The sequence below is a fragment of the Homo sapiens genome, chromosome 7 (assembly GCF_000001405.40).
Source record: "Homo sapiens chromosome 7, GRCh38.p14 Primary Assembly".
In the NCBI taxonomy this organism is placed as follows: Eukaryota; Metazoa; Chordata; class Mammalia; order Primates; family Hominidae; genus Homo; species Homo sapiens.
This window is the reverse complement of record NC_000007.14, coordinates 39430303-39456222: the sequence shown is the minus strand read 5'-3', so window position 1 is coordinate 39456222 and position 25920 is coordinate 39430303. Positions and strand designations below refer to the sequence as shown.

The 25920-nt window shown below is 41.3% G+C and overlaps 1 protein-coding gene and 1 long non-coding RNA gene across 6 annotated transcripts in view; one reads left to right on the top strand and one right to left on the bottom strand.

Moving 5' to 3' along the window:
• POU6F2 (POU class 6 homeobox 2) overlaps positions 1-25920 on the bottom strand; it is a 490693-nt gene that overhangs the window by 12379 nt on the left and 452394 nt on the right. For all 5 annotated transcript variants that reach the window (NM_007252.4, NM_001166018.2, NM_001370959.1 and 2 more), the window contains 2 exons: positions 22940-23146; positions 4522-4690 (listed from right to left, as the gene is read on the bottom strand). In NM_007252.4, the coding sequence (NP_009183.3) occupies positions 4522-4690; positions 22940-23146 (376 nt within the window). The remainder of the gene's footprint in view (positions 1-4521; positions 4691-22939; positions 23147-25920) is intronic.
• LOC105375238 (uncharacterized) overlaps positions 1-25920 on the top strand; it is a 58176-nt gene that overhangs the window by 18233 nt on the left and 14023 nt on the right. The window lies entirely within an intron of this gene.

The following is a 25920-nucleotide window of genomic DNA, read 5'->3' as shown; positions in this document are numbered from 1 at the left end:
TTGATGGGAACTTCAGGTAAAATCCTCAGATCTCTCACAAGGTGGATCCAGCACTTTTAACCAGCTCTAGGGAAACCCAATCTCAGGTTTCTATGGAGGGTGGAGGAAATGACATCTTTTATAGAAGTTTGCTCCAGATTACATGAGCCTGATATATTAAAGACAGGGCCAGAAAGTAATAGCAATGATGGCCAGGGTCCACCCTGAGTCTGACACTTGATCAACTTATAGAGGAATTAACTGGCCTGGGGACTTAGGCTAACATGGCATTGAAAACTGGCAGTGACTCATAAACATAATGATGATGTTTCCAAAATCAAGCCTGGGATGCATGGACTGAAAGTAAAAAAGATTTTTATGGGTGCTAAATGCAAACTGTGTGAAAACAAACCTGCTTTGTAGAATCTGGTTGCGTGGTCACTGGGCACATACTGAATTGAATGCTCAGGATGCATCAGTCAGACAGAGTTTTGCTTTATTTTGCTGTTTGTTTGTTTTTTTAAATTTAGCTCCTTCCCACTCTTAGCCCGGGCATCAGTGTAAGGTGCTGCTAAATGGGTTGAATAGTCACCATGCATCAACATCATCTTTCTATGATTCCTGATTTGTGGGATTGTTATGAGAGTAATATACACCTTTAAAGAAGCTTCCAAAGGTATGAATTAATTAACTATGTTATGTAAATAGCTGTCTGCTTTTTAGTGCTATTCTCACAGCAAATAATGGGCATATTTACCACATATTTCTGAGAAATAGGAAGCCATTTGGGAGTTTGCAATGCAATTTGGGAGAACAGTATTTTTGCAATATGGTGACCTCTTTGGGATGTAGAAAATGGCATGGATTGTGAAACAGGGGTTTCACTGTGCTATATGCCATCAGCATGCAACTTTAAGTTCACTTTATAGTTTTGTTTTTTTTCTGGAGCTAACTATAAGTCATTTGCTGTCTAAGGATAGAGCTTAGGTGTTTAGAAAATGTATACTGGAAAAAAATCCAGCAAGTGATCAAAACCCTAAACCTACCTATTTCTAAACAGTGCACTGTAAATCTTAAACCTAATTGGGACATTTGTCAAGTACTTGTTTGACTTTTCTTCTGATTTTCTGAAAACCCTGCTTATAAAAACCATATCCACCTCTGATGATTATGGAGACTGAGCAAGGTTTAACACAAGGCAAGGTGTGTAGGTGCTATAAATAAGTATTGTGCAGATTTTCTAATAATCTGCATGTTTGGTAATTCTGAGCCCAGACGTGCTTTCTTTGCATATGAACATCTTGTATCATTACTAAGGTATTAACCCAGCATTCTCTTGCTTGTAGTTGGCAAGACTTTTGTATGATCCACCTATTCTAGTTCATCTGGCATATGGCAGGTTAGCCAACACTAGGATGACAGTCTTTGACAACGACGTGGAGGAGTCATTGGCCATGGTTTTGACCAAAGTTTTGGTGATATTGTGATGTAATAAGATATATATATATCTTATTTTATATATATATATATATATATATATATATATATATATATATATATATATATATATATATATATATATATATATCCCTGGTCTTCATCCTTGGTTCCTGGCACAGAGCTCATAAGACTCTTATAATTTCCTAACAAATAGGGGTGCTAGGAGCATCTTCTGTTCTAATATTTAGTCTTTGACCCCACTTCTTGACACAGAGTTCCTAAATCCTTTGGAATGTCCTGGATGATAGGAACATCTTTTGTTCTAATGAGGTGACTCTTAGGGGCTCCTGGATAGCTTCATGATAGTGGCTGGTCATCAGAAAGACAAAGCTATGATTAGAAGCTTGAAGCTTTTAGCCCCACCTCCATTTTTAGGGAGAGAAGAGGGGCTGGAGATTGAGTTAATAATCAATCATGTCTACATGATGCAGCTGCCACAAAAATCACTAAGGTATGGAATTTGGAGAGCTTCCAAGTTGGTGAAAACATCCACATTCTGAGAGTGGTGCACTCCAACTCTACAGGGACAGAAACTCCTGCATTTGGAATCCTTCCAGACCTTGCCCTGCGTACCTCTTCATCTAGCTGTTCATCTGTATTCTTTATCATATCCTTTATAGTAAACAAGTAGATGTATTTCTGAGTTCTGTGAGCCATCATAGCAAATTATGGAACCAGAGTGATATGATTCATGTACTATTCATTCTGTAGTTGCTTTTGAGACAGAAGGGATTTAACTAAACAACATGCTCAAAATTTGTGGCAACTCAAGTCCAGCAAGGGGTTAGGGCAAAGTGCGACCCCTAGTGGTACTGTTAGACTCTCCTGGCCTGCAGAGACAACTGTGGAGCTAGCTTGGTGTCATTCAGTCTCTGCATATGGGTTTGAAGTTTCCGGCTTCAATTGCATGTGGTAAAAGAGTCTCTCTTTCCCACGTCTATATATTTCATACCGAGGATATGTAATATGGTTCACTCATCATAAACCTAGAACTTATATGTCCCACTGGCTACTGTGCAATGAAAGTTCTATCTGGCCCATTAAAGTATCTCTGTTATTGATTTCTGAAAAAGGCTAATCCTTCACTGCCCAGCTGTGACAAGTGACTAGAGAGAACCCAGTTCCATCCATCTGACTGTCTGCTGTCTGCCCATCCACTCATTCATCTTTCTGTCCATCTTACACATGTTAACTATTTACCTTGTGTGAAACACTGTATTAGTAGGAGGTTGTTTGTACTTCTTTTTCATATTTAACTTATTTCTTCTCTGTAAGATGCTTAACTTTGGTTCTTTTTCTTTCAGGACCAAAGCTTAACAGTTTATCCTAAATTTATGACCTTGCTGCCATTTAGAAATGGAGTATTTTGCAGAAACTTATACAGAATATTGAATTGTAACAAAGTTTGACTCTTCCCGAGGAAAAGTTTTTTTTTTTAATTAGGGGAAATCTGGCTATAATTAAATTCACTTTATCCTTAACTTTATGCAAGTCAGACTAGAGTTTCTGGAGAGGGTTGTATATCTAAACAACCTAAAATACAGTTGATGGAAAATGCATATGTATCCTGAAACTCTGGTGTTGACCCATCTTTAAGATCAACAGCATCCAGGTTAGTCTGGTGAAGTGCCTGGGCATTTTTTCTTTTTTTGAGATGGAGTTTTGCTCTTGCTGCCCAGGCTGGAGTGCAATGGTGCGATCTCAGCTCACTGCAACCTCTGCCTCCCAGGTTCAAGTGGTTCTTCTGTTTCAGCGCCCTGAGTAGCTGGGATTACAGGCACATGCCACCACGCCCGGCTAATTTTTGTATTTTAGTAGAAACTGGCTTTCATCATATTGGTCAGGCTGGTGTCGAACTCCTGACCTCAGGTGATCTGCCCGCCTTGTCCTCCCAAAGTGCTGGGATTACAGGCATGAGCCACTGTGCCCGGCCTACCTGGGCATTTTAACATCTTTCCATAATGCCTCATTCCATTTTCTTCCCCACCCACAAGCATCTTTCTTGCCTTAATTATCAGTATAATTGAATATAGACATATATGTATGTAATTATTTTTCTTTTTTGAGGAGGATTACTTGTCGGGGAGGTCATGGCAACCATCCATTTTGTTTTAAGAATTGCCCCATGATATGTGAGGATCCTACTGTTCCTGCTATAACAGGTCATTCATGACACTTGACCAAACACAGATCCTCACATGTCCTCATTTTATGGCACAGATGCCTATGCAGGCACCCATAGCTACTGGATTTTTGGTCCCTGGTGAATTGCAATCTATGCACATGTTCTGCAGTTTTATATATAAGTAAAAACTGCACTAAACGTGACTGACATTAAATCAGACCATTGTCCCATCCATCTTAACATGCTGTTATTTGCATGTGATAAATATACTATCTATCCCTAGGGCCAAATACCATTCTAAAAACTATATATACATATATATAGGCTATTTAGGGAGGCAGACTTGCAGGCTTATCCTATTTTATGAATGGTTGTTCAGAGATTTCTCATCTGATTCCGGCCCATGCAGCTTCCCCCACATGCCACTTGAGGTGGCTTATTGTACACACACACCCACCCGCCCACAGGCATGCTCTCTTTTATTTCCTCTGACACCTACAAATAGAATGGCAGGGGACTTCAAACACACATAAAAGCAGCTTGACCTGCCAGCTGAGTGCCTGTTGTTGGTTATTTCAGTTGTGAGCTATGTGGCTCATGCCCTGAAAGCTGATCAGTTGCTACCTTCTGAAGTGGCAGGACTGACTCAGCACATCAGCAACTACTTAAGATGGAACCCGGTCCTTGATAGCCACTAATTCAGGGAGTGTGCTTTGGGGACCTGCTTCCCTAAGGAACCATCTGGTCCTGGGGACGGACTTCATCTCAATATTGACCTAGCAGTGCCAGGAAATTCCTGTGCAGGGTTGAGAGAAAGAGAGAGCAAGAGAGAGTGAGAGAGAGACAAGAAGGAAGACATTGCAAATAGGCAACAAGAAGGCCACCACGATTTAAACCGAGCCAGAAAGGATACTTACTGCTGACTAACTGGCCCACGCTCAAAGCTGAAGAAGAGGAGGATGAGGAGGAAGAAGAGGAAGCCTGCCGGACGGGACTTTGAGACATGGATGCTTGGCTGTGAGCCAGGTGCAGAAGGTTGCCTTGGGAGGCTGCTTGACCCACTGACGTCTGGGAGGGTTGGTGGAGCTACATGAGGGGATGTAAAAAAAATACACAAATGAATGAAAAATTAGGGGAAAAATGCCAGGGAACAGAAGTTTTATCTGGGAGTGAATCATTTTATTTCCAAGAATATATACTTCTCAGGAAGAGTGCGCACCCTACACAGCAGGCAGTCATTTTTTTTTTTTTTTTGTAGAGCACATATTGCCACTTGCTTGACAGGCATTTTATTAGTAATTCTAAATATATTATTAATTCCCTACTTGGCTTGTTAGAGCACCCAATTTTCTACATTTCTCGACCCTGGCATGTGGCTGGACCTTTCTGTCTATTCATACAGTTACAGCACACTTGACAGGCTTCTCAAGTAAGTATAGATAAAATATAACACCATCAACTCAGATTGGGAAACTAAAACTTAAAGGTGTGGCTGTGCCCCACCATTTTATCCTATGTAAACTGGTATTTTTAGAAAAGTTCCAATGTAGGCTGAGTGTGTGTGGGAACTTCCTCCTCTTACAGACTCTAGAGTCCGGATGGGTTTCTGTGGAGTTGATAAAATGCTGTCTGATATCCTAAGGAAAATTCAGAGAGAAGATGGGGAGTCAGAACAAAAATATCCCGTAGGATTTCTAGCTCTCAGTTGTTACTTTCTTACTCTGGGCCGGCCACTGTATTAAGGACATTGACTAATTTTCCTATCAGCCTGTGGTGTGGGTACTATTTCCACCCCTCTCTCACAAACAGGGAAGCTGAGGCACAGAGAAGCTAAAGGATTTTATAGGTTCAGCCAGCAAGTGCGGAGGAGCTGGTCTCTGGACACACGAAGTCTGACCCTGGGACCCGAGCTCTTAGTTATGATGCCACAAGGAAGAATTAATTTAATTTTAAAAATTGTGTGTGTGTTAAGGAAGGCTGTCTTTATATCCATTTATTCATGATTCCTCTACAGGTTATCAAAGGACTGTTGCTCTGAGAAGTGAGAGGAGCTCAGCTGAGGAGAGAAACGAGAGAGGGAAGGGAAATGCTTGCAGGTTCTAGGTCTACTTGGAGGCCCAGGAAGGATGTCTCTCCATCATTTTTTTTTCTTCTCCGGGAAAGCTGCCATAAGGGCAGGCCAGGACACCAAGCAGGTAGACAAGGAGCCTCAGCATTAGCCATCTTTGTTGATTGGATGTAGCACTTTTTGGTTTGTAAAGTGCTTTCATATCCATTGTCATTCTCACAGAGGTGTAGCAAGGCTTTTGTAAAAAGGAATCAGCCTGTGAGTAGAATTAGGTCAGGACCTCAACTTTGGTGGGAGAGCTACCCCCAAAACAGGCACCAGTCTGAGAAGGACTACCACCTTGTTAGCACCTAAGAGCCAGCCTGGGGTGTTTCAACTTCATATTTGTCACTGCTTTCCCAGTGTGTGTGTGTTCATTTTTTCATTCAACTTTATTGAGATATAATTTACACATAATAAAATAAACCCATTTTAAACACAGAGTTTGATGAGTTTTGTCAAATGTGTACACACGTGAAACCACCACGATAATCAAGATATAGAACCTTCTCATCATTCCACAATGTTCCCTCCTCTCCTTTGTCATCAATTTCCCCTCAACTTCCTGCCCTAGACAGCCACTACCCTGATTTCTGTCACTCTGGATTCATTTGTCTGAGTCCAGAAATGGAATCATACAATATGTACTCTTCTTGTATCTGGCTACTTTTGCTTGGCATACTGTTTTTGAGATTCATTCATTTTGTTGCATGCCTTGGTAGTTCAGTTTTTTTTAATTGCTGAATAGTATTCCCTTCCATATCTTATATGAATATGGTATATTGTTCATGAATTCATCTGTTGGTGGGTGTTTGGGTTGTTTCCAGTTTGGGGCTATGATGAATAAAGGTGTTATATAAACATTTATGAATAAGGCTGTGTGTCTACTTGTGTTTTTGTTTCTCTAATGTAAATACCTAGGAGTGGAACTATTGGATCATACTATAAATGCATGTTTAACTTTCTTAGAACCTCTCAAACTGATTTCCAAAGTGGTTGTACCATTTTATGTTCCCACCAGCAATGTATGAGAATTCCAGTTGCTCCACAATCTCACTAACATTTAGGATCATCATGCTTTTTAATTCCCTAAAGTGTTTTTATCAAATTAATATTTTTCCTTCAAACAACTGTTAGTTAGGGGCTACTCCAGAAATGTGCTTAAGGAGCTATTTCCCCTTCTGGTCCCCTGTGGTAGTAATTAATAATGGCTCCCCTACTCACATGGCATTCCTATGCAGCAGATGTGCCTGGCAGGATTATGTGACATAAATAACCAGCCTATGTGGCTGCTGAACATGAGAATCCAGGCTCCCACCCCATAGTGCAGGGATCTTCCCAGGAAACCACCTTGTGCCTCCTACAGAATTGCCTGAGGTTGCATTTCAAGTGAACACCCGTATTGTTGCTCAGCTATGCGAAGTAGAGGCTAGATTACAAACCAAAGACAGTTACAATTGACATGGGATCCCAAATTAATATGCATCAAGCATCTGCCAAAGGTAATTAGCCAAACTGCTGAGCACATAATCAACAATTGAATCCAGTAAATTTTATACTGTAGGGACACATATTAAAGATTAAATCTATTTTTAATTTGCTTAATAAAGTGTGATGGATATTTGCATGTCAATCTACCCCCTATAACGTATTGAGTTGTCCTTCTAAATACTGTTACTTGGCAAAAGCTTTTTACAGTTTTGAGTAACTGAATCATTAGATTGTCTTCGGTTTTACCATTGCATCAATATTTTATTGGCCCTGGGTGTGGTAAAGAACCATCAAGGAACTGGAAAAGACACCAATTTAAATATTTCTTCCTCAGACACAACACAATAAAGAAAAAATTACTAGACTGCAATATTGCTTAAATTAAGAGTCACTAGAGCAAGCTAGGGCTTCTAGGCAAGAGAAGAAATTTCAGATGAAAATAAAATAATTATTTTAAGAACTTGTTCCATGTCCATACAGTCAAAAGGAGAGTCAAAAGGAATCTAAGATGTCTAAGAATCTAAGAAAGATATTTTTCTTCCAAAGTAAATAATCATTTATTTTAGGACACTGGGGTTCTGCTTACCTCTAGAGTTCAACCAAACAGTTCAGAAAAACCAATACAAATTCTTCAAATTTCTTACTTGTCAAGGATCAAGAAGATTATATAAGCAGTGGCATCTCAATGGAGCCCATAGGTTTCATTCCAATTGCCAGTGTAAATGTGTATCTGTTAATTCTAGAATCATTTGCAAGCTGAGATAGAATAGCCTTCTGTACATGTCAAAATCAGCCCAGATACTGACCTCTCGCCTTCATAACGTCTTTCCTTAGAAAAACAGGACTTCAGAAGTACCACTTCTATGAAATTCCATCTCTAAAACTGTAATTCTTTCAGGTAAACTATGAAATATAGCACTACATCACTGGGATTCTTAGTTTAATGTTTTTGGTGTATTAATCTTTAGAAATTTTGTGCTTAAAATATATCAAATAAGAAAAGGCAAAGCAGAGATTTAAGCTACTTTATGAAACAGCTCTCGGGTTCAATATAAAAATTTAATATATGTTAAATAAGCAGCATTAGGAATATGTTACTTAATTTGATTTAATTATGTTGTTGTTTTGGACACTGACTTAACTGTAAAAATCACATATACTTGTATTGCATAACTATTGGCAAAAGAAATAGACATTTAAGTATTAAAACATAACCGGACACAAAAATTGGAATAATTTACCAAAAGAAAATGCAGGGAGTTAGGGAATAATTAGAAGCAGAAGAAAAAGTTTCTTTCCTTTCCTTCCTGGAGGGAAAGGGAAACTTAGATGCTTCTATAAAGGCAGATGTTTTATTACATTGTCTTAATTTTTGAAAGGCCAAATATGTGAGTAATGTTTATTGGATGCTTCCTACCTGTTTTTGTGTATATTATTTAAAATCCTGGCAATAGTCCTCCTTTTTAGGTATTGGTGATATCATTACAGAAGAGGAAACAGAGACTTCAAAAGATGAAATGACTTACTTGGGATTACACAGCTGGTATAAGTAAGCTTTCAATCCATGTAAGTCTGACTCAAGAGCCAGCACTCCTTCCACTATGCCCCGCTGCCTCTCAACTCCACGATCATCGGAGATGAGCAGTTACAGGTCAGGGAAACAGCAGGGAGCTGGGAATTGTGGGAACAAATGAGGTATGTTCAAACTGATAGATCATGGTGAGCTACACTTTCAAGTTGATCAGCCATAGTGTAGATCATCATGATCTATCAATGTGTTTCTTTTCCCTAATATAAAATTTCAAATATTTTTCTGGTTTAAGAATTATTGTCTGCAGTTCCCTATTTAAAATGCCATGTTTGAAAAAAAACATGGTACTCTCAGGTGGCTAGAAGATTATCCAAAAATAATGTTATGATTTTAGTGCAGTTTGGGGACACATCTCAGATGCAGTTGCCTACAGATTGTTCTTTGCTTGATATAATTAATTCTAGTTATCTGTACTACCCCCAAACTTACTCTTCTCAGTATTGTATCCTCTTTATATGATCGTATTTTCTATTTATTCGCCCTACTGTTAGTAGACTGCCTAAAGGAGCTTGAGTTTCTCTCCGTCTGAGTTTACATAATCACTTTCTTGCCCTTTTTTGAGCTGTGAGCCCAGTGTAAATAGGCTGAAAGCATGGAGAATCTGCAAGAAAGAAGAGAAAAGGAACAGCTCATGTGAGCCTGTGGCTGTGGATTTTCCAGAGGAGGAGGACCGGATGTCCATCCCACACACAGAATGACAAATGGAGCACAGGATGCAGTGTCTGAGAAGCTTTCTACGTCCTACTGGCTCTCACAGGCTTGCTCTCTTGGTTTGTTTTTACTGGTTGGCACTGCCAGGGTGTTTAATATATTCACCAAAAATAGACTGAAATAACAGCACACTGTAAAGGCTTTCTTGGTTTTCTGTGCCACTGATCCCCAGGTATCTTCTGTGTGTTATGCGGTATATCGTTAATAATGTTTTAGTTTCTGGAATAAATCATCTTCTAATTAAATGTGTCATTGATATTAAAATAAGTGGGGTGGCAAGTGTCTTGGAAAATGGACTAAAATGCAGAATGTACTAGGCAAGTTGGAAAAGTGAATGCATATAAACAGAAAATTCAAATGGGATTAAATATAAAGAAACTCACTTGGGGAGGAAAAATCTCTCTAAATCTGCAAAGGCAAAATGAAGGAGGGCTGGCCTTCAACAAAGATGTCAGAGAGCCATAGTGAACCCCAGGCTGAACCCACCCCGTGCTGCAATGGAGGCAATGAATACAACCCAGAGGGGTCTCGCAGAAGCCAGAGTATGTGGGAAGGGCATCATTACTTGCCCTCCCTGCCTGCCCTAGTTGGCATTTTTCTGAGTAATGTGTACCTTGGAATAGCTTGAAGAGAAATTAAATCAGCGGTTCTCAAGATTTAGTTGCATCAGAATCACCTGGAGGGCTGTTAGAGCACAGATCACTGGGCTCTACCCTGACTTTCTAATTTAGTAAGCCTGGGTTGGGGCTCAAGAATTTGCATATCTAACAAGTTTTCAGGTGATGCTGCTACTGTGGGTTGGAGGACCACACAGATTTTGGAAGGAGCTCCTCTTGGAAAAAGAGTTAGAGCAAGTGGATCTGTTATGTCTAGACAAAAGAAGCCAGAGCCCAGACATAATAAGAACTTTGATTAACTAGGAGGGTATAATGAATGCCTGAGCCTTACTGAGGAATTCATTCTACTGTGGACAGGACAAGAGCACAAATTAAATTTGCTGAGAGATTTATTGTTGACATCAGGATGAGCTACCTTCAAACATTTGGAGGACCTGGAACATGATACAAGAGAGATTTTAGCTATCTTTGTGGAAAATTTGAAAAGAGGAGGAAGTTATCCTTTTGGCATTCAGAGAGGCTTTACAGAGGAGGGAGGGATTTAGGACAGAGGAGGGAGAGTGGATCCAGACCCCAAAGAATGGATGAGCAGGAGCTTGCCAGACACGGAAGGTGGGAAGAGGTTCTAGGCCAGGGGCACAGAATGCACAGAAAGTATGAATGAACTGCATCAGCCGAACTTGGCAGGGAGTGAGAAGGTGAGACCAGAGAAGTTAGCTATCCAGATACATGACTGGAAGGTCAAAGGACTGCTCTGCATTGGGACCACCCATATAGATTTCACCCATCTAGGCAAACCCTTACTCTATTTTAGATCCCTTGTGGGTGGGAATGCCTCATTTCTATCTCATTCTGGGTGGCTTGAGAAAAAATTGAGAATCAGTGATTCAGGCCAGGGCTAGGAAGGAACATTGATTTTTTTGAAAATTAGTAACTGAATACATTTTTGTATCTACTTGAAAAATAATGATGGATGTTGATAATTGCATGGCATTTTAAGAGAGCTAATTTGAATAAGCTGTCTCTCATTGGTTTTCTGTTAGTACCAAGATTACCTTTTGAGGAAAAATTGAGTGCCTTCATGGATGGTAGTCTCCAAGTATTATAGCTATGGTATTTAATTTTTGAAAAATCTTAATGCTTTGATTTTGCAAGTTGCAGATTTTTTTTCCTTTCATTTTTCTCTCCCTGCCTTAATGATACTGAAAAGTCCTGTTAACTTTTGTCTGGATTTAGTCAAAAGGAGAATAAATCTACACAAAAATAATGTCTGTGTGGCTTATGAAGAAACTACTAATTCATAGGCACGGGGCAATTAGGGGAAAGAAAACAGGGCCTCTGAAGAGACCCTGACTTTGGGAGGTGTTCACCATATGCCACAACAGCTGTAGAATCCCTTGGAGGAAGCAAAAGGTTGCTTTTGAGCTCCACTAAATATTTTTGTATTAAGTAACTTTTCTTTCATGCACACAAAGATTCTCATCACTCTCTTACTTTCATCTGGTTGTTTGTTTGTTTGAGACAGTGTCTCACGCTGTAGCCCAAGCTGGAGTGCAGTGGTGCGATCTCGGGTCACCGCAACCTCTGCCTCCCAGACTCAAGTGATTCTCGTGCCTTAGCCTCCCAAGTAGCTGGGACTACAGGCATGCACCACCATGCGCAGCTAACTTTTTGTATTTTAGTAGAGACGGGGTTTCACCATGTTACCCAGGGTGGTCTCGAACTCCTGAGCTCAGGCGATCTGCCTGCCTCGGCCTCCCAAAGTGCTGGGATTATAGGCGCGAGCCACTGCGCCCGGCCTTCATCTGGTTTTTTTCTGAATTTGTTTTCTGGTATTGCTCACCAAGGATTTCTGATGTAATACTGTGGAAGCTATATTTAGGGCTGTCAAATACCGGTGTTTTTTTTAAAAAAATACTGTTTACATTTCAGATGATAACTTTGCATGTTCTTCTCTCATCATTGGAAAGAATCATCATCAGTGTGTTGGATACTACATTCTTAGATTCAGGCTCTTAATTAATGGTAGGCAGATGTGAAAATTCATTAAAGATGTCATTACTTTTATTAAATTAAAACAAATCATTCCAGGTCATCTGGTCTGACAGTCCTATACTTTACTTCATGAAAGTGGACTTCCTTCTGAGTATGAGTTAGGGAACTCTATGTTCCTGTAATTTATGACATATTTTACCTTCAGAACTATGCTCTTGTGAGATCACACATTTGTCGTAAATCACATGAAAAAATAAATTGAGAAACTTCTCTAATGTGTGACAGAAATCCTTTATTTTTTAGTGGTTGTCCATATTATATTTCTTCAATGTAAAGGGTAATATTTAAAGAAAAAAATTGAAGACCACTATCCTTATACCTTTTGAGCTTTTAACTTTTTGACTCAGGGGTTTTTATGATTGGCAAGCCTCAGAATCACAGCTTTTACATCTGGGACTCACACTTGTGCATCTCCTGTCAATTTGCCCAACTTGTTAGCTTGATTGCGTGTTCTCATGGTGTCTCAACTGGAGCCAATGCCAAGAAATAAAGTCATTCATTCATTTCTACCATTTCCCTGGTATTTCTGACCAGGTTCACCATCAGTTTTCTGGATATTCCTGGGACTAGGACAGACCACTGGCACATGCCTTGAGCAAGAGGGACAGGCCCATTGGTGCCTGCCATGACTTGGGTATTTGAGATGGTTCCCGCATTGCTCTTTTCCGCTGCGCTCACGTGTTCTCTCAGCGTGCACATACCTGAGAGGTGCACATATGTGTACTGGTGAAGGGAGCCCGCTCTTTGGGATGCTGGTTGTAGCTGACATGTTGATTGGGGTGTACTTTGTTGGATTTGCAAGGTACATCCCCAAGAAGCTGGCTTTTTTTTCCAGTTGCTAATCTCCAATCCTGCAGTGAAGAGGACAGTGGTGGTGGTTAGACTAGCAGAGGACTGACCATATGTTGCTGCAGTAGGAACAAGATTTCATTCCGGGGCTGACAGATGCTGCGTGAGAAGGCTCCTGAGGTGTGTCTGGGCCTGTGAGAGAGACTATGGAAATGGATTACTGATATCTGCTGTGAGCAAGGGGTTAGGAGTGGCACCATTCCTGCCTCTTATTTGCCATTTCTTGGTTAGGCCTTTCTCCTGGATCAAAACTGTACTACTCCCAAACTAGAGCTGCAATTTTGTGTCACAGCTGTAGTCTATCACCCACACTCACCTTTGAAATTCAAGGTGAGAGTGAGAGCTACTTTATATTAAATGTTAATGATTTCTAACTAATTCATCACCTTTTTGGCAATTTACAACTGGCTTTGCTGACAGAAAAGGTTTTTAGCAGATTGTAGCAAAAGAGGCCAATTTCCCCATATTTTCCCCCAGAGATAATTTTGAACATAGTTGGACCAGATGAAACTAGGGTTTAAAAGGCCAATGAAAGATAGAGAACCTTGCCTTATTTGAGGAACCACTTAGAAGGTAGAGAATCAAACAGAAATAGTGTAAATAGCAAATAGTGAAATAAATAAACCAGCTGAGAGATGGGGGGAAGAAAAGTCCTTAATGATAAGATCGACAGAGACTGCTTGGGATAAAGCTGAGGAAGAAGAGGTGGCTCCCCAGGCTACAGATTTAGATTTTGAGTGAGAAGACAAAGTCTCTGTCTCCAGAAAGTGTACAGATTCAGACCTTGCTGGGATTCTCCTGATGTTGGCTCCCTCGCTGGGTGAAGTTCCCTTGCTGAATGCTCTAATAGATCCCTTCACTTCTACCTCATGGCACGTACTGCTGTCTTAGTGACATATTTGTATAAGTCTTTGGTGAATGTACATCTTCCTCACTACCCCATAAGCTCCATGAAGGAAGAGCTCATGGCATCTGTCTTGCCCACCAACACAGCCTAGCTTCCTGGTACCAATGCCAGACACATGGTAGGTGATCAATAAATATTTCCATTAAATAGATTTTTTTGTACTCATTGAACAAGCAACTGGATTTTCCAAGCATAGTCTCTGAGAGCCACCAAGAATGGGTTTGTTTTCGTGGTTGGATCAGGAGCCAAATGGAGGCAATGGCTGAGGTATCTGGAAGGATATTTCTGCATTGTTGTAGATAAATGATAATATTGGGACTTTCTTCTTCCCTTCTCTTTATATTTTATTTCCTTGCTAACTGCTTTACATTATACAGCTTTCTGACTTCACATAAAGCCATGTGCTCGGTCATACACTCACTCTTAGTCTTCATCATTCCTGTCCACCACCTTTCTTTTGTTAGTGTACACTCCAGCTTTAACTCTGGGTCTTAGCCTTGCCCACCTCTTACTTCTTAACTCACTCAGTTAAGGAGCTCATTTCAACATGTTTCAAACAGGGACAATCCAGACTTTAAAATGTTGTAACAGAGAAACAGAGGAATTGATGTTTCTTCATTGCTTTACCTAATTTTATTTCTGCAGCATTTGATGCTCGTCCACTTCCTACTTTTTTGAAATACTTGGATGCTAGATCACCACACTCTGGGTTTCTCTTTTAGTTACCCAACCATTTCTTCTCTCATTTTTCCTCTTCCATTCCTTAAATGCTGATGTTTCCCAAGAGGGACTCTTAGTCTTCCTTCCCTTGCTTCTCATATTTTTTTCTGATTTTTTTTCTTCCCTTGCTCCTCTTGCTTTCTCTGGTGTCTCAATTGTTTTCAGCTACAACAAATGTACTCATGACTTGACTCCCATGTACTCAACTCCAAGTACATGCTCTCATTAATTCTTCTTTGTGTTTTGCTATAGACTCCTAAATGGTTTGCTCACAGTAGATGGTTTACTTCAGTTCAACCTCTGTAGTGCTATCAGAGTTATTTTCTTGAAAAAAAAAAAAAAGCTAAGCTTTAAAAATACCTTTTACACGTTTAACAGGTCCTGTTCCCCATGCCACCCAACTGAGTGAGTCCCTCCAACAGGGGTTGTCAGACACCCTATATAGGAGTGATCCTACTGGCATCAGGTTGGTGCCCCTTGAGGTCAGAGGTCCCAGAAGAAGGAGGAGGCACCCATTTTTTCTGTTCTCCAGACTTCTTGAATGACATATCCAGGCACGGGAGTGAATCGGATGAGTAGGGCCTGAAGTGAACCTCCCAGCAAACTGCAGCAGCCCTACAGAAGAGGGACTTGACCATTGAAAGGAAAACAAGCAGAAAGCAACAACAACAACATCATCATCATCAACAACAACAACAAGCCCTCACAAAAACCCTCCAACGATCAGCAGCCTCAAAGACTGAAACTAGACAAACTCACAAAGATGAGAAAGAATCAATGAAAAAATGCTGAAAACCCAAAAGATCAGAGTGCCTCTTCTCCTCCAAATGATCACAACATCTCTCCAACAAGGGCACAGAACTGGATGGAGGATCAGATGAACTAATTGACAGAAGTATCAGAAGATAGCTAATAAAAACTATGATGAGCTAAAGGAGCATGTTCTAACCCAGTGCAAAGAAGCTAAGAACCTTGATAAAAGGTTTGAGGAATTGCTAACTAGCATAACCAGTTTAGAGAGGAACATAAATGACCAGATGGAACTGAAAAACACTGCACAAGAACTTCGTGAAGCATACACAAGTGTCAATAGCCAAATTGATCAAGTGGAAGAAAGGATATCAGAGTTTAAAGACCATCTTGCTGAAATAAGGCATGCAGACAAGACTAGAGAAAAAAAGAAAGAAAAGGAATGAAGAAAGCCTCCAAGAAATACGGGACTTCATCAAAAGACCAAACCTATGATTGACTGGAGTACCAGAATGAGATAGGGAGAATGGAAACACGCTGGAAAACACACTTCAGGATATCATCCAGGAGAACTTCCCCAACCTAGCAAGAAAGGCCAACATGCAAATTCAGGAAATACAGAGAATACCATTAAGATATCTTATGAGAAGATCAACCCCAAGACACATAACCATTAAATTCTCCAAGGGCAAAATGAAGGAAAAACTGTTAAGGGCAGCCAGAGAGAAAGGCCAGGTCACCTACAAAGGGAAGCCCATCCCACTAACAGCTGACCTCTCAGCAGAAACTCTACAAGCCAGAATAGATTGGGGGCCACTATTTAACAATCTTAAAGAAAAGAATTTTCAATCTAGAATTTCATATCCAGCCAAACTAAGCTTCATAAGCGAAGGAGAAATAAAATCATTTCCAGACAAGCAAATGCTGAGGCATTTTTTTTACCACCATACCTGCTCTGCAAGAGCTCCTGAAAGAAGCACTAAATATGGAAAGGAAAAACTGGTACCAGCCACTGCAAAAACACACCAAAAAGCCTGGGTGTGGTGGCTCACACCTGTAATCCCAGCACTTTGGGAGGCTGAGGTGGGTGGATCACCTAAGGTCAGGGTTTGAGAGCAGCCTGGCCAACATGGCGAAACCCTGTCTCTACTAAAAATACAAAAAATAGCCAGGTGTGGTGGTGCATGCCTGTAATCCCAGCTACTCGGGAGGCTGAGGCAGGAGAATCAGTTGAACCCAGGAGGAAGAGGTTGCAGTGAGCTGAGATTGTGCCTTTGCACACCAGCCTGGGTGACAAGAGCGAAAATCTGTTTCAAGAAAACAAAACAAAAACAAAAACCAAAAACACCAAAATATAAAGACCAATGACACTATGAAGAAACTGCATCAACTAGTGTGAAAAATAACAAAATAGCAGCACGATGACAGAACCAAATTCATACATAACAATATTAACCTTAAATGTAAGTGGGGTAAATGCCCCAATTAAAAGACACAGACTGGCAGATTGGATAAAGAGTCAAGACCCATCGGTGTGTTGTATTCAGGAGACCCATCTCATGTGCAAAGACACACGTAGGCTCAAAATAAAGGGATGGAAGAAAATTTACCAAGCAAATGGAAAGCAAAAAAAAAACCAGGGGTTGCAATCCTAGTCTCTGATAAAATAGACTTTAAACCAGCAAAGATCAAAAAAGACAAAGAAGGGGATTATGTAATGGTAAAGGGAAAAATTCAACAAGAAGAGCTAACTATTCTAAACATATATGTACCCAATACAGGAGCACCCAGATTCATCAAACAAGCTCTTAGAGACCTACAAAGAGACTTAGACTCCCACACAATAATAGTGGGAGACTTTAACACCCTAATGTCAGTATTAGACAGATCAATGAGACAGAAGATTAACAAGGATATTCAGGACTTGAACTCAGCTCTGGATCAAGTGGACCTAATAGACCTAACAGAACTCTCCACCCCAAATCAACAGAATATACATTCTTCTCAGTGCCACATGGCACTTATTCTAAAATCAACCACATAATTGGAAGTAAAACACTCCTCATCAAATGTGAAAGAACTGAAATCATAACAGTCTCTCAGACCACAGTGTGATCAAATTAGAACTCAGGATTAAGAAACTCATTCTAGTTCTAGATCCTTGAGGAATCACCACACTGTCTTCCACAATGGTTGAACTAGTTTACAGTCCCACCAACAGTGCAAAAGTGTTTCTATTTCTCCACATCCTCTCCAGCACCTGTTGTTTCCTGACTTTTTAATGATCGCCATTCTAACTGGTGTGAGATGGTATCTCATTGTGGTTTTGATTTGCATTTCAGCCCAGCCATCCCATTACTGGGTATATACCCAAATGATTATAAATCATGCTGCTATAAAGACACATGCACATGTATGTTTATTGCGGCACTACTCACAACAGCAAAGACTTGGAACAACCCAAATGTCCATCAATGATAGACTGGATTAAGAAAATGTGGCACATATGCACCATGGAATACTATGCAGCCACAAAAAAGGATGAGTTCATGTCCTTTGTAGGGACATGGATGAAGCTGGAAACCATCATTCTCAGCAAACTATCACAAGGACAAAAAAACCAAACATCGCATGTTCTTACTCATAGGTGGGAATTGAACAATGAGAACACTTGGACACAGGAAGGGGAACATCACACACCGGGGCCTGTTGTGGGGTAGGGGGATGGGGGAGAGATAGCATTAGGAGATATACCTAATGTAAATGATGAGTTAATGGGTGTAGCACACCAACATGGCACATGTATACATATGGAACAAACCTGCACGTTGTGCACATGTACCCTAGAACTTAAAGTATAATAATAAAAAAAAAAAGAAACTCACTCAAAACCACATGATTACATGGAAATTGAACAACCTGCTCCTAGATGACTCCTGGGTAAATAAGGAAATTAAGGCAGAAATCAAGAAGTTCTTTGAAACTAATGAGAACAAAGACACAACGTACCAGAATCTCTGGGACACAGCTAAGGCAGTGTTAAGGGGGGAAATTTATACCACTAAATGCTCACATCAGAAAGCTAGAAAGTTCTCAAATCGACACCCTAACATCACAATTAAGAACTAGAGAGGCAAGAGGAAACTAATCCAAAAGCTAGCAGAAGACAAGAAATAACTGAGATCAGAGAAGATTTGAAGGAGATAGAGACAAGAAAAACCCTTCCAAAAATTAATGAATCCAGGAGCTGGTTTTTTGAAAAAAATTAACAAAATAGGTAGACCACTAGCTAGATTAATAAAGAAGAAAAAAGAGAAGAATCAAACAGACACAATAAAAAGTGATAAAGGGGATATCACCACTGATCTCACAGAAATACAAACTACCACCAGGTAACACTATAAACATCTCTACACAAATAAACTAGAAAATCTAGAAGAAATGAATAAATTCCTGGACACATACACCCTCCCAAGACTAAACCAGGAAGAAGTCAAATCCCTGAATAGACCAATAACAAGTTCTGAAATTGAGGCAGTAATTAATAGCCTACCAACCAAAAAAAGCCCAGGACCACATGGAGTCACAGCTGAATTCTACCAGAAATACAAAAAGGAGCTGGTATCATTGCTTCTGGAACTATTCCAAACAATTGAAAAGGAGGGACTCCTCCTTAACTAATTTTATGAAGCCAGCACCATCCTGATACCACAATCGGGAAGAGACACAACACAAAAAGAAAACTTCAGGCCAATATTCCTGATGAACACAGATGCAAAAATCCTCAATAAAATACTGGCAAACCAAATCCAGCAGCAGATCAAAACTTATCCACCACGATCAAGTCGGCTTCATCCCTGGGATGCAAGGCTGGTTCAACATATGCAAATGAATAAGCGTAATCCATTGCATAAAGAGAATCAAAGACAAAAACCACATGATTATCTTAATAGATGCACAAAAAGCCTTTGATAAAATTCAACATCCCTTCATGTTAAAAGCTCTCAATAAACTAGGTATTGATGGAACATATCTCAAAATAGTAAGAGCTATTTATGACAAACCCACAGCCAATATAATATTGAATGGGCAAAAGCTGGAAGCATTCCCTTTGAAAACTAGTACAAGACAAGGATGCCCTCTCTCACCACTCCTATTCAACATAGTATTGGAAGTTCTGGCCAGGGCAATCAGGCGAGAGAGGAAAATAAAGGGTATTCAAATGGGAAAAGAGGAAGTCAAATTGTCTCTGCTTGCAGACGACATGATTTTATATTTAGAAAACCCCATCGTCTCGGCCCCAAAACTCCTTAAACTGATAAGCAAGTTCAGCAAAGTCTCAGGATACAAAATCAATGTGCAAAATTACAAGCATTCTTTTACACAAACAATAGACAAGCAGAGAGCCAAATCATGAATGAACTCCCATTCACAATCACTACAAAGAGAATAAAATACCTAGGAATACAGCTAACAGGGGATATGAAGGACCTTTTCAAGGAGAACTACAAACCACTGCTCAATGAAATAAGAGAGGACACAAACAAATGGAAAAACGTTCCATCCTTTTGGATAGGAAGAATCAATATTGTGAAAATGGCCATACTGCCCAGAGTAATTTATAGATTCAACGCTATACCCATCAAACTACCACTGACATTCTTCACAGAATTAGAAAAAACTATTTTAAATTTCATATGGAATCAAAGAAGACCCCATATAGCCAAGACAATCCTAAGCAAAAAGAACAAAACTGGAGGCATCACTCCGCCTCACTTCAAACTATACTACAAGGCTACAGTAACTAAAATAGTGTGGTACTGGCACCAAAACAGATATATAGACCAATGGAGCACAATAGAGACCTCAGAAATAACACCACACATCTAAAACTATCTGATCCTGGACAAACCTGACAAAAACAAAGGGGAAAGGATTCCCTATTTAATAAATGGTGCTGGGAAAAGTGGCTAGCCATATGCAGAAAACTAAAGCTGGACCCCTTCCTTACACCTTATATAAAAATTACCTCAAGATGGATTAGACTTAAATGTAAAACCCCACACCATAAAAACCCTAGAAGAAAACCTAGGCAATACCATTCAGGACATAGGCATGGGCAAAGACTTCATGACAAAAATGCCAAAAGCAATGGCAAGAAATGCCAAAATTGACAAATGAGATCTAATTAAACTAAAGAGCTTCTGCACAGCAAAAGAAACTAGCATCAGAGTGAACAGGCAACCTACAGAATGGGAGAAAATTTTTGCAATCTATCCATCTGACAAAGGTCTAATATCCAGAATTTACCAGGAACTTAAACAAATTTACAAGAAAAAAACAATCCCATGAAAAAGTGGGCGAAGGATATGAACAGACTTCTCAAAAGAAGACATTTACACAGCCAACAAACATATGAAAAAAAGCTCAACATCACAGATCATCAGAGAAATGCAAATGAAAACCACAATGAGATACCATCTCATGCCAATCAGAATGGTGATTATTAAAAAGTCAGGAAACAATAGATGCTGACGAGGCTGTGGAGAGATAGGAACATGTTTACACTGTTGGTGGGAATGTAAATTAGTTCAACCATCATGGAAGACAGTATGGCAATTCCTCAAGGATCTAGAACCTGGAACATCATTTGACCCCGCAATCCCATTACTGGGTATATACCCAAAATAATATAAATCTTTCTACTGTAAAGACATATGCACATGTATATTTATTGCAGCACTATTTATAATAGCAAAGACGTGGAACCAACCCAAATGCCCATCAATGATAGACTGGATAAGGAAAATGTGGTACATATACACCATGGAATACTATGCTGCCGTAAAAAGGAATGAGGTCATGTCCTTTGCAGGGATATGGATGAAGCTGGAAGCCATCATCCTCAGCAAACTAACACAGGAAAAGAAAACCAAACACCTCATGTTCTCACTCATAACGGGGAGTTGAACATTGAGAACAGATGGACACAGAGAGGGGAACAACACACACCAGGGCCTGTTAGGGGGTGGGATGTGAGGAGGGAACTTAGAGGATGGGTCAACAAATGCAGCAACCACCATGGCACACATATACCTATGTAACAAACCTGCACGTTCTGCACATGAATCTCATTTTTTTTTGTGTTTTTTGTTTTTGCTTTTTTTTTTAGAAGAAGTTTAAAAAAAACCCAAAAACAAACCTCTCATAGATCTCCAGGGCTTGGCTGCAGATTAAATCATCACCATCATCATCACCATCACAATCATCATCACCATCATCATCATCATCACTATCATCACAACTATGTTAGTGCTTACTGTATGCCAGGCACTATTCTGACCACTTCATATATATATTAACTCATTTAATCCTCATAACCACCCTGTGAGATAGCTACTGGCGTATCCCCACTTTACAAATGAGGTAACAGGGGCACAAAGATGATATGTAGTGTGTTCAAGGTCCCACAGAGAAAAAGTCCATCCTTTTTAGATTGTTTATAGAGCCCTTCTATGAATGTCCTCTGCCTCCTCTCTGCTCCAATCACATGAGCCTTTCTCCTGTTTCTCAACACCCCATCCTCTTTCCCATTTCCCTGCCTTTGTGCCTGCTGTTCCCTCTGCTTGGAATGTTATTAACCCTTCGTTTACTTGGTTAACTCATACCCAGCTGTCCGGACTCCATTCCCAAGCCATTATCTCTGGGATGACTAAAAACTGTCCGGGCAGAGTTGGTCACTTCCAACTCTGTGGTGATACCTGCCCTGTCACAGGACAGTCTCTGCTCTACTGCACAACAGATTCTGCTTATAAATCTGTGTCCTCTACAGGGTGATGAGCTCCCTAAAATCAGAAAGCATCTCTCCTTTATTTCTGTTTCTTCACATTTATCAGGGGCCTGCTATACAGTAGGTTATCACAAAATGTTTGTTGAAGGAGCCAATTAACCAGACACTCCATGAGGTCAGGGACCACACCTTTTTCTGTGCTGTGGACCCAATCTCTAGCACAAATACACAGGAAGCTCTCAATTGATATTTGAATGGAAAAATTAACCGGATCATCATGGTTTTGTGAAATTCAACCAAGCAGAACTTCCTATTTTTCATTTCCTCATTTGTAGGCAGTGGTTTCAGCAGCAGCACCTTGGGATCTCTTAATATTTAATAATTTTTTCATTCACAGTTAAGGCATGAGTGTTCTTGGTTTCTTTTTGACCTCATTTTGAAAATCTGAAAATTAAGTATCTTGAGCACAGATTAATAAGAATACATCCCTATTGAATTTTAGGGCACTCTCTCTGTTTGTAATTTAATATATTCTTATTTTTATATTAAAGAGGTATTTAGTTATCACCCATATTCATTAAGAATGAAAAAGAGTTACATGCCATTTTATAAGTATCGATATGTTCAGATGAGTGAGATCAACTATTTTGTAATGTAAAAGTTACTTTTCATTGATTGAGACCAAAGAGGAGAAGCTGGGTAAGGACAGTGTCCTGTGCCATGGCTGCCTTGGCCTGGAACATTTACCTGCTGGCCGGGCTTGATGGGTGACAGCGTGATGCCCTGGGTGTTGATCACGGGCAGGATCTGGTTCCCAATGACTGTGGCGATGATCTGGCCCTGGGCGTTTGTGAGGAGCTGGGGGGTGATTGGCTGCACTTGCAAGCCCTGAGTGCCGCTTGCTGCTTGGCTCGATGGCCCTGGATTAGGCATCAGTGGAATGGTCCCGATAATCTGCAAGAGAGGGCCAAAGGTGAGGAGCTGGCTCGGTGAAGGGTCTGTGCATGCAACTGAAGACCATGCAGTGCCTGGTCTCTCTAGGATGCTCCCTGGGAGCCGACTCAGAATCTGCAAGCAGCTCTGGAGGGGGGTGTGGTGGAAGAAGGTGGCAGGGGCAGGCATCTAAAGCAGAGATAAGTACACACGAACTGAGTTCATGTGATGGAAGGGAGAAACATCTTATTTAAAAATAAAATCAAGCATCTGTTAAGGTATAAACATGCGGTTTTTGCCAGGGCAGGTCTGACATCTGCTTTCTCTCAGAACCAGAGGGAGGATGGGCTTCTCACAGCACTCAAGGCCCTCTTCCACCTGGGAAGAGTGCATCCCCACCACCCCCCAACCCCGGGGGGCTCCACACTTTCTGAACTAGGGGATCCTTTGACATTCTTTCCTCTGCCTCCTTCCCTCCACCAACATCCAGCTCCTCTCTCAATGTCGGGGGAGGGGCTCCCCGATACCCCCAGCAGGATTAGGGGCCTCACACACCCTGGTGTTCACAGTGGTGGAGAGTCTGGGCTCTGGAGACAGAGTGACAGGATTCCATTCCCAGCTGTGCCACTTACTGACTGTGGCACATTTGTCAAGGGACCTAAGCTTTCTGAAGGCTTGAGAGAATTGAGATTATAAACAAGCTTTTGAAACTCTTAAAATAGAGGTGAAATGACTACTGAGGACTGAAATCAGAAAGAAAGTGCCTTTTAAATGATGTGTTTTAAAGCCAGGGCCTAAAGGTGAGGGGCTTGGGGCTTCTGTGGCAGGTGGCAGGGGAGGCTCTTCTCTGCATCCAGTGGCTTCTGGCTTCAACGAGGGACCATGGGGACTGACCACAGGAGGGGCCTGGCCAGATCCAATTACTGTGCCAAGGAGAAAGGCACCATGAATAGAAAAACAGCAAATGGACAGACTGGGTGTCCATAGAATCTGGACATAGAGACCATATTGTTAGGGACACACTGTTAGTGACAGATGTAATCTGTAAAAACCTAAAACATGATCTCTATTTCCAACTGTGGTGGCATCTCCTGAGAAGCGACGTGGCACTGGCCGTGTGGATGCTTTTCTGCCTCCACACACGGTAGGATGGTTACCTAGCTCTGCTTTCCGGTTGCCTTCAAGGGCTCTGGCTCTCAGAGGTGAAATCTGGTGACCTGGCCTGGGGGCCACCAGGACACAGTAGTAAGATCTCAGGAAGTGTTTTTACACATATGATTCCTCTGCATTCTATATTCTTACAACACCTCTGTGAAGTAATATTTGTCATGCCTCTGCTTACTAGACAAGACACAGGGGCACAGGGAGGCCAAGCAACTCAGCTGAGTCTCTTCACAGAAGTGTTTGTAAGTGACAATCTGGGGCTACAGTCCAGGTCTGGCTGACCCCACGTGCTCGCTTTTCCATCCTTCCCCCTAGCTCCCACAGCATGGAGGACCTTGGAGGGTGCCAGCTCTTAGAAAACACACTGTGTGTCTTGTTTGCAATTTCCCACTAGATGAAAGGCTGCTGGTGGGCTGGGTTTGTAAGTGATACTGCTTTCTACCCACACAATACCCTGAGCAGTGCTTTGAACATAGTTTCTCAGTAAATGTTTTTTGACTGAGTGGTTTCTAGACTCAGCCGTCACTGGGACTCCAGATGCAGCTGGAACCACAGGAGAATTGCAAGACCATGCCATTCAGTGACAGATCTTGCTGGAGAAAGCCTCCTCATCCCTATGCCATTGCTTCCACCACAAAAGCCCCTGTGGGATGGCACTAATGGAGGACTTGTGCGGATGTCAAGTATCAACGGCATTTGTCAATGGAGGCCAATAAAGTTCAGGTAATTACTGTGAGAGTGGTCAGCTGTCCCCTAGGGAGTGTGGCAGGGCTGCAGTCTCACTGAGCAAGCCCGCAATGCCTGGCCCGCAGCATCAGCAATGAGCACGTCCCATCAGTGTGGGCAAGGTCAGGAGGCGTCCACATCAATAGATCATAGCAAGTACTTTATTGATGAGTGGTCTTGCATTAAACAGCCAGGATTCAAAGGCTGGCTCCTGTGACCCCACAGGCAAGGTAAGAGAGGCCCAGGAACAGGCCTCCCATCTTCAGCTTATGTTGGATAACTCCCCTTTCCACACATGCACAATGAAAACTCAGCCACTGACCCATCCACTCTGGCCTTCCCCAGTGTCTTAGGCCTTTGCAGCCTCATTTCATCCTATCAGCCTGAGCTGAAAGCCTGTGGAAGCTGGATGCATCTACGGGGCAGGGCTGTGGGTCCTGTTTGGGGCAGGGTGTCGGTGCGATTAAGAGCCAGTGGGAGCAAGTAGCCTGAGAGAATGGTTCAGGGTGAGCACAGCACATGACAGTTACAGAACACACTGTGATGAAGAGAGAGGCGTTCTGTCCCGGGAAGATTGACACCAGCCTGTGCTCACCTCTGCAGTAATGAAATACTCTGCCTACTTCCTGGGTGGAAAGAAGAAAGGCAAATGCAAACAAGTCATCAGCCTCTTCCTTAAGCACAACCTCACTTTCAACTGTGCCAGCACATTACTAAAACATGGCGCTGCCTATGTTCCTCCCCACCCTGTCCTTTCTTCTTTTCTAGGCCTGAGCATCACTTATCAAGGATAGGATAACAGTAGTGTCAGAGCCAGAGGAATCTGTAATGACCTGACTATTGGTGCCTTTAACAAAGACAGTCTGCCTTGGAGGTGGAGGTGGGGGGTCAGGAGCAGTTCTAAA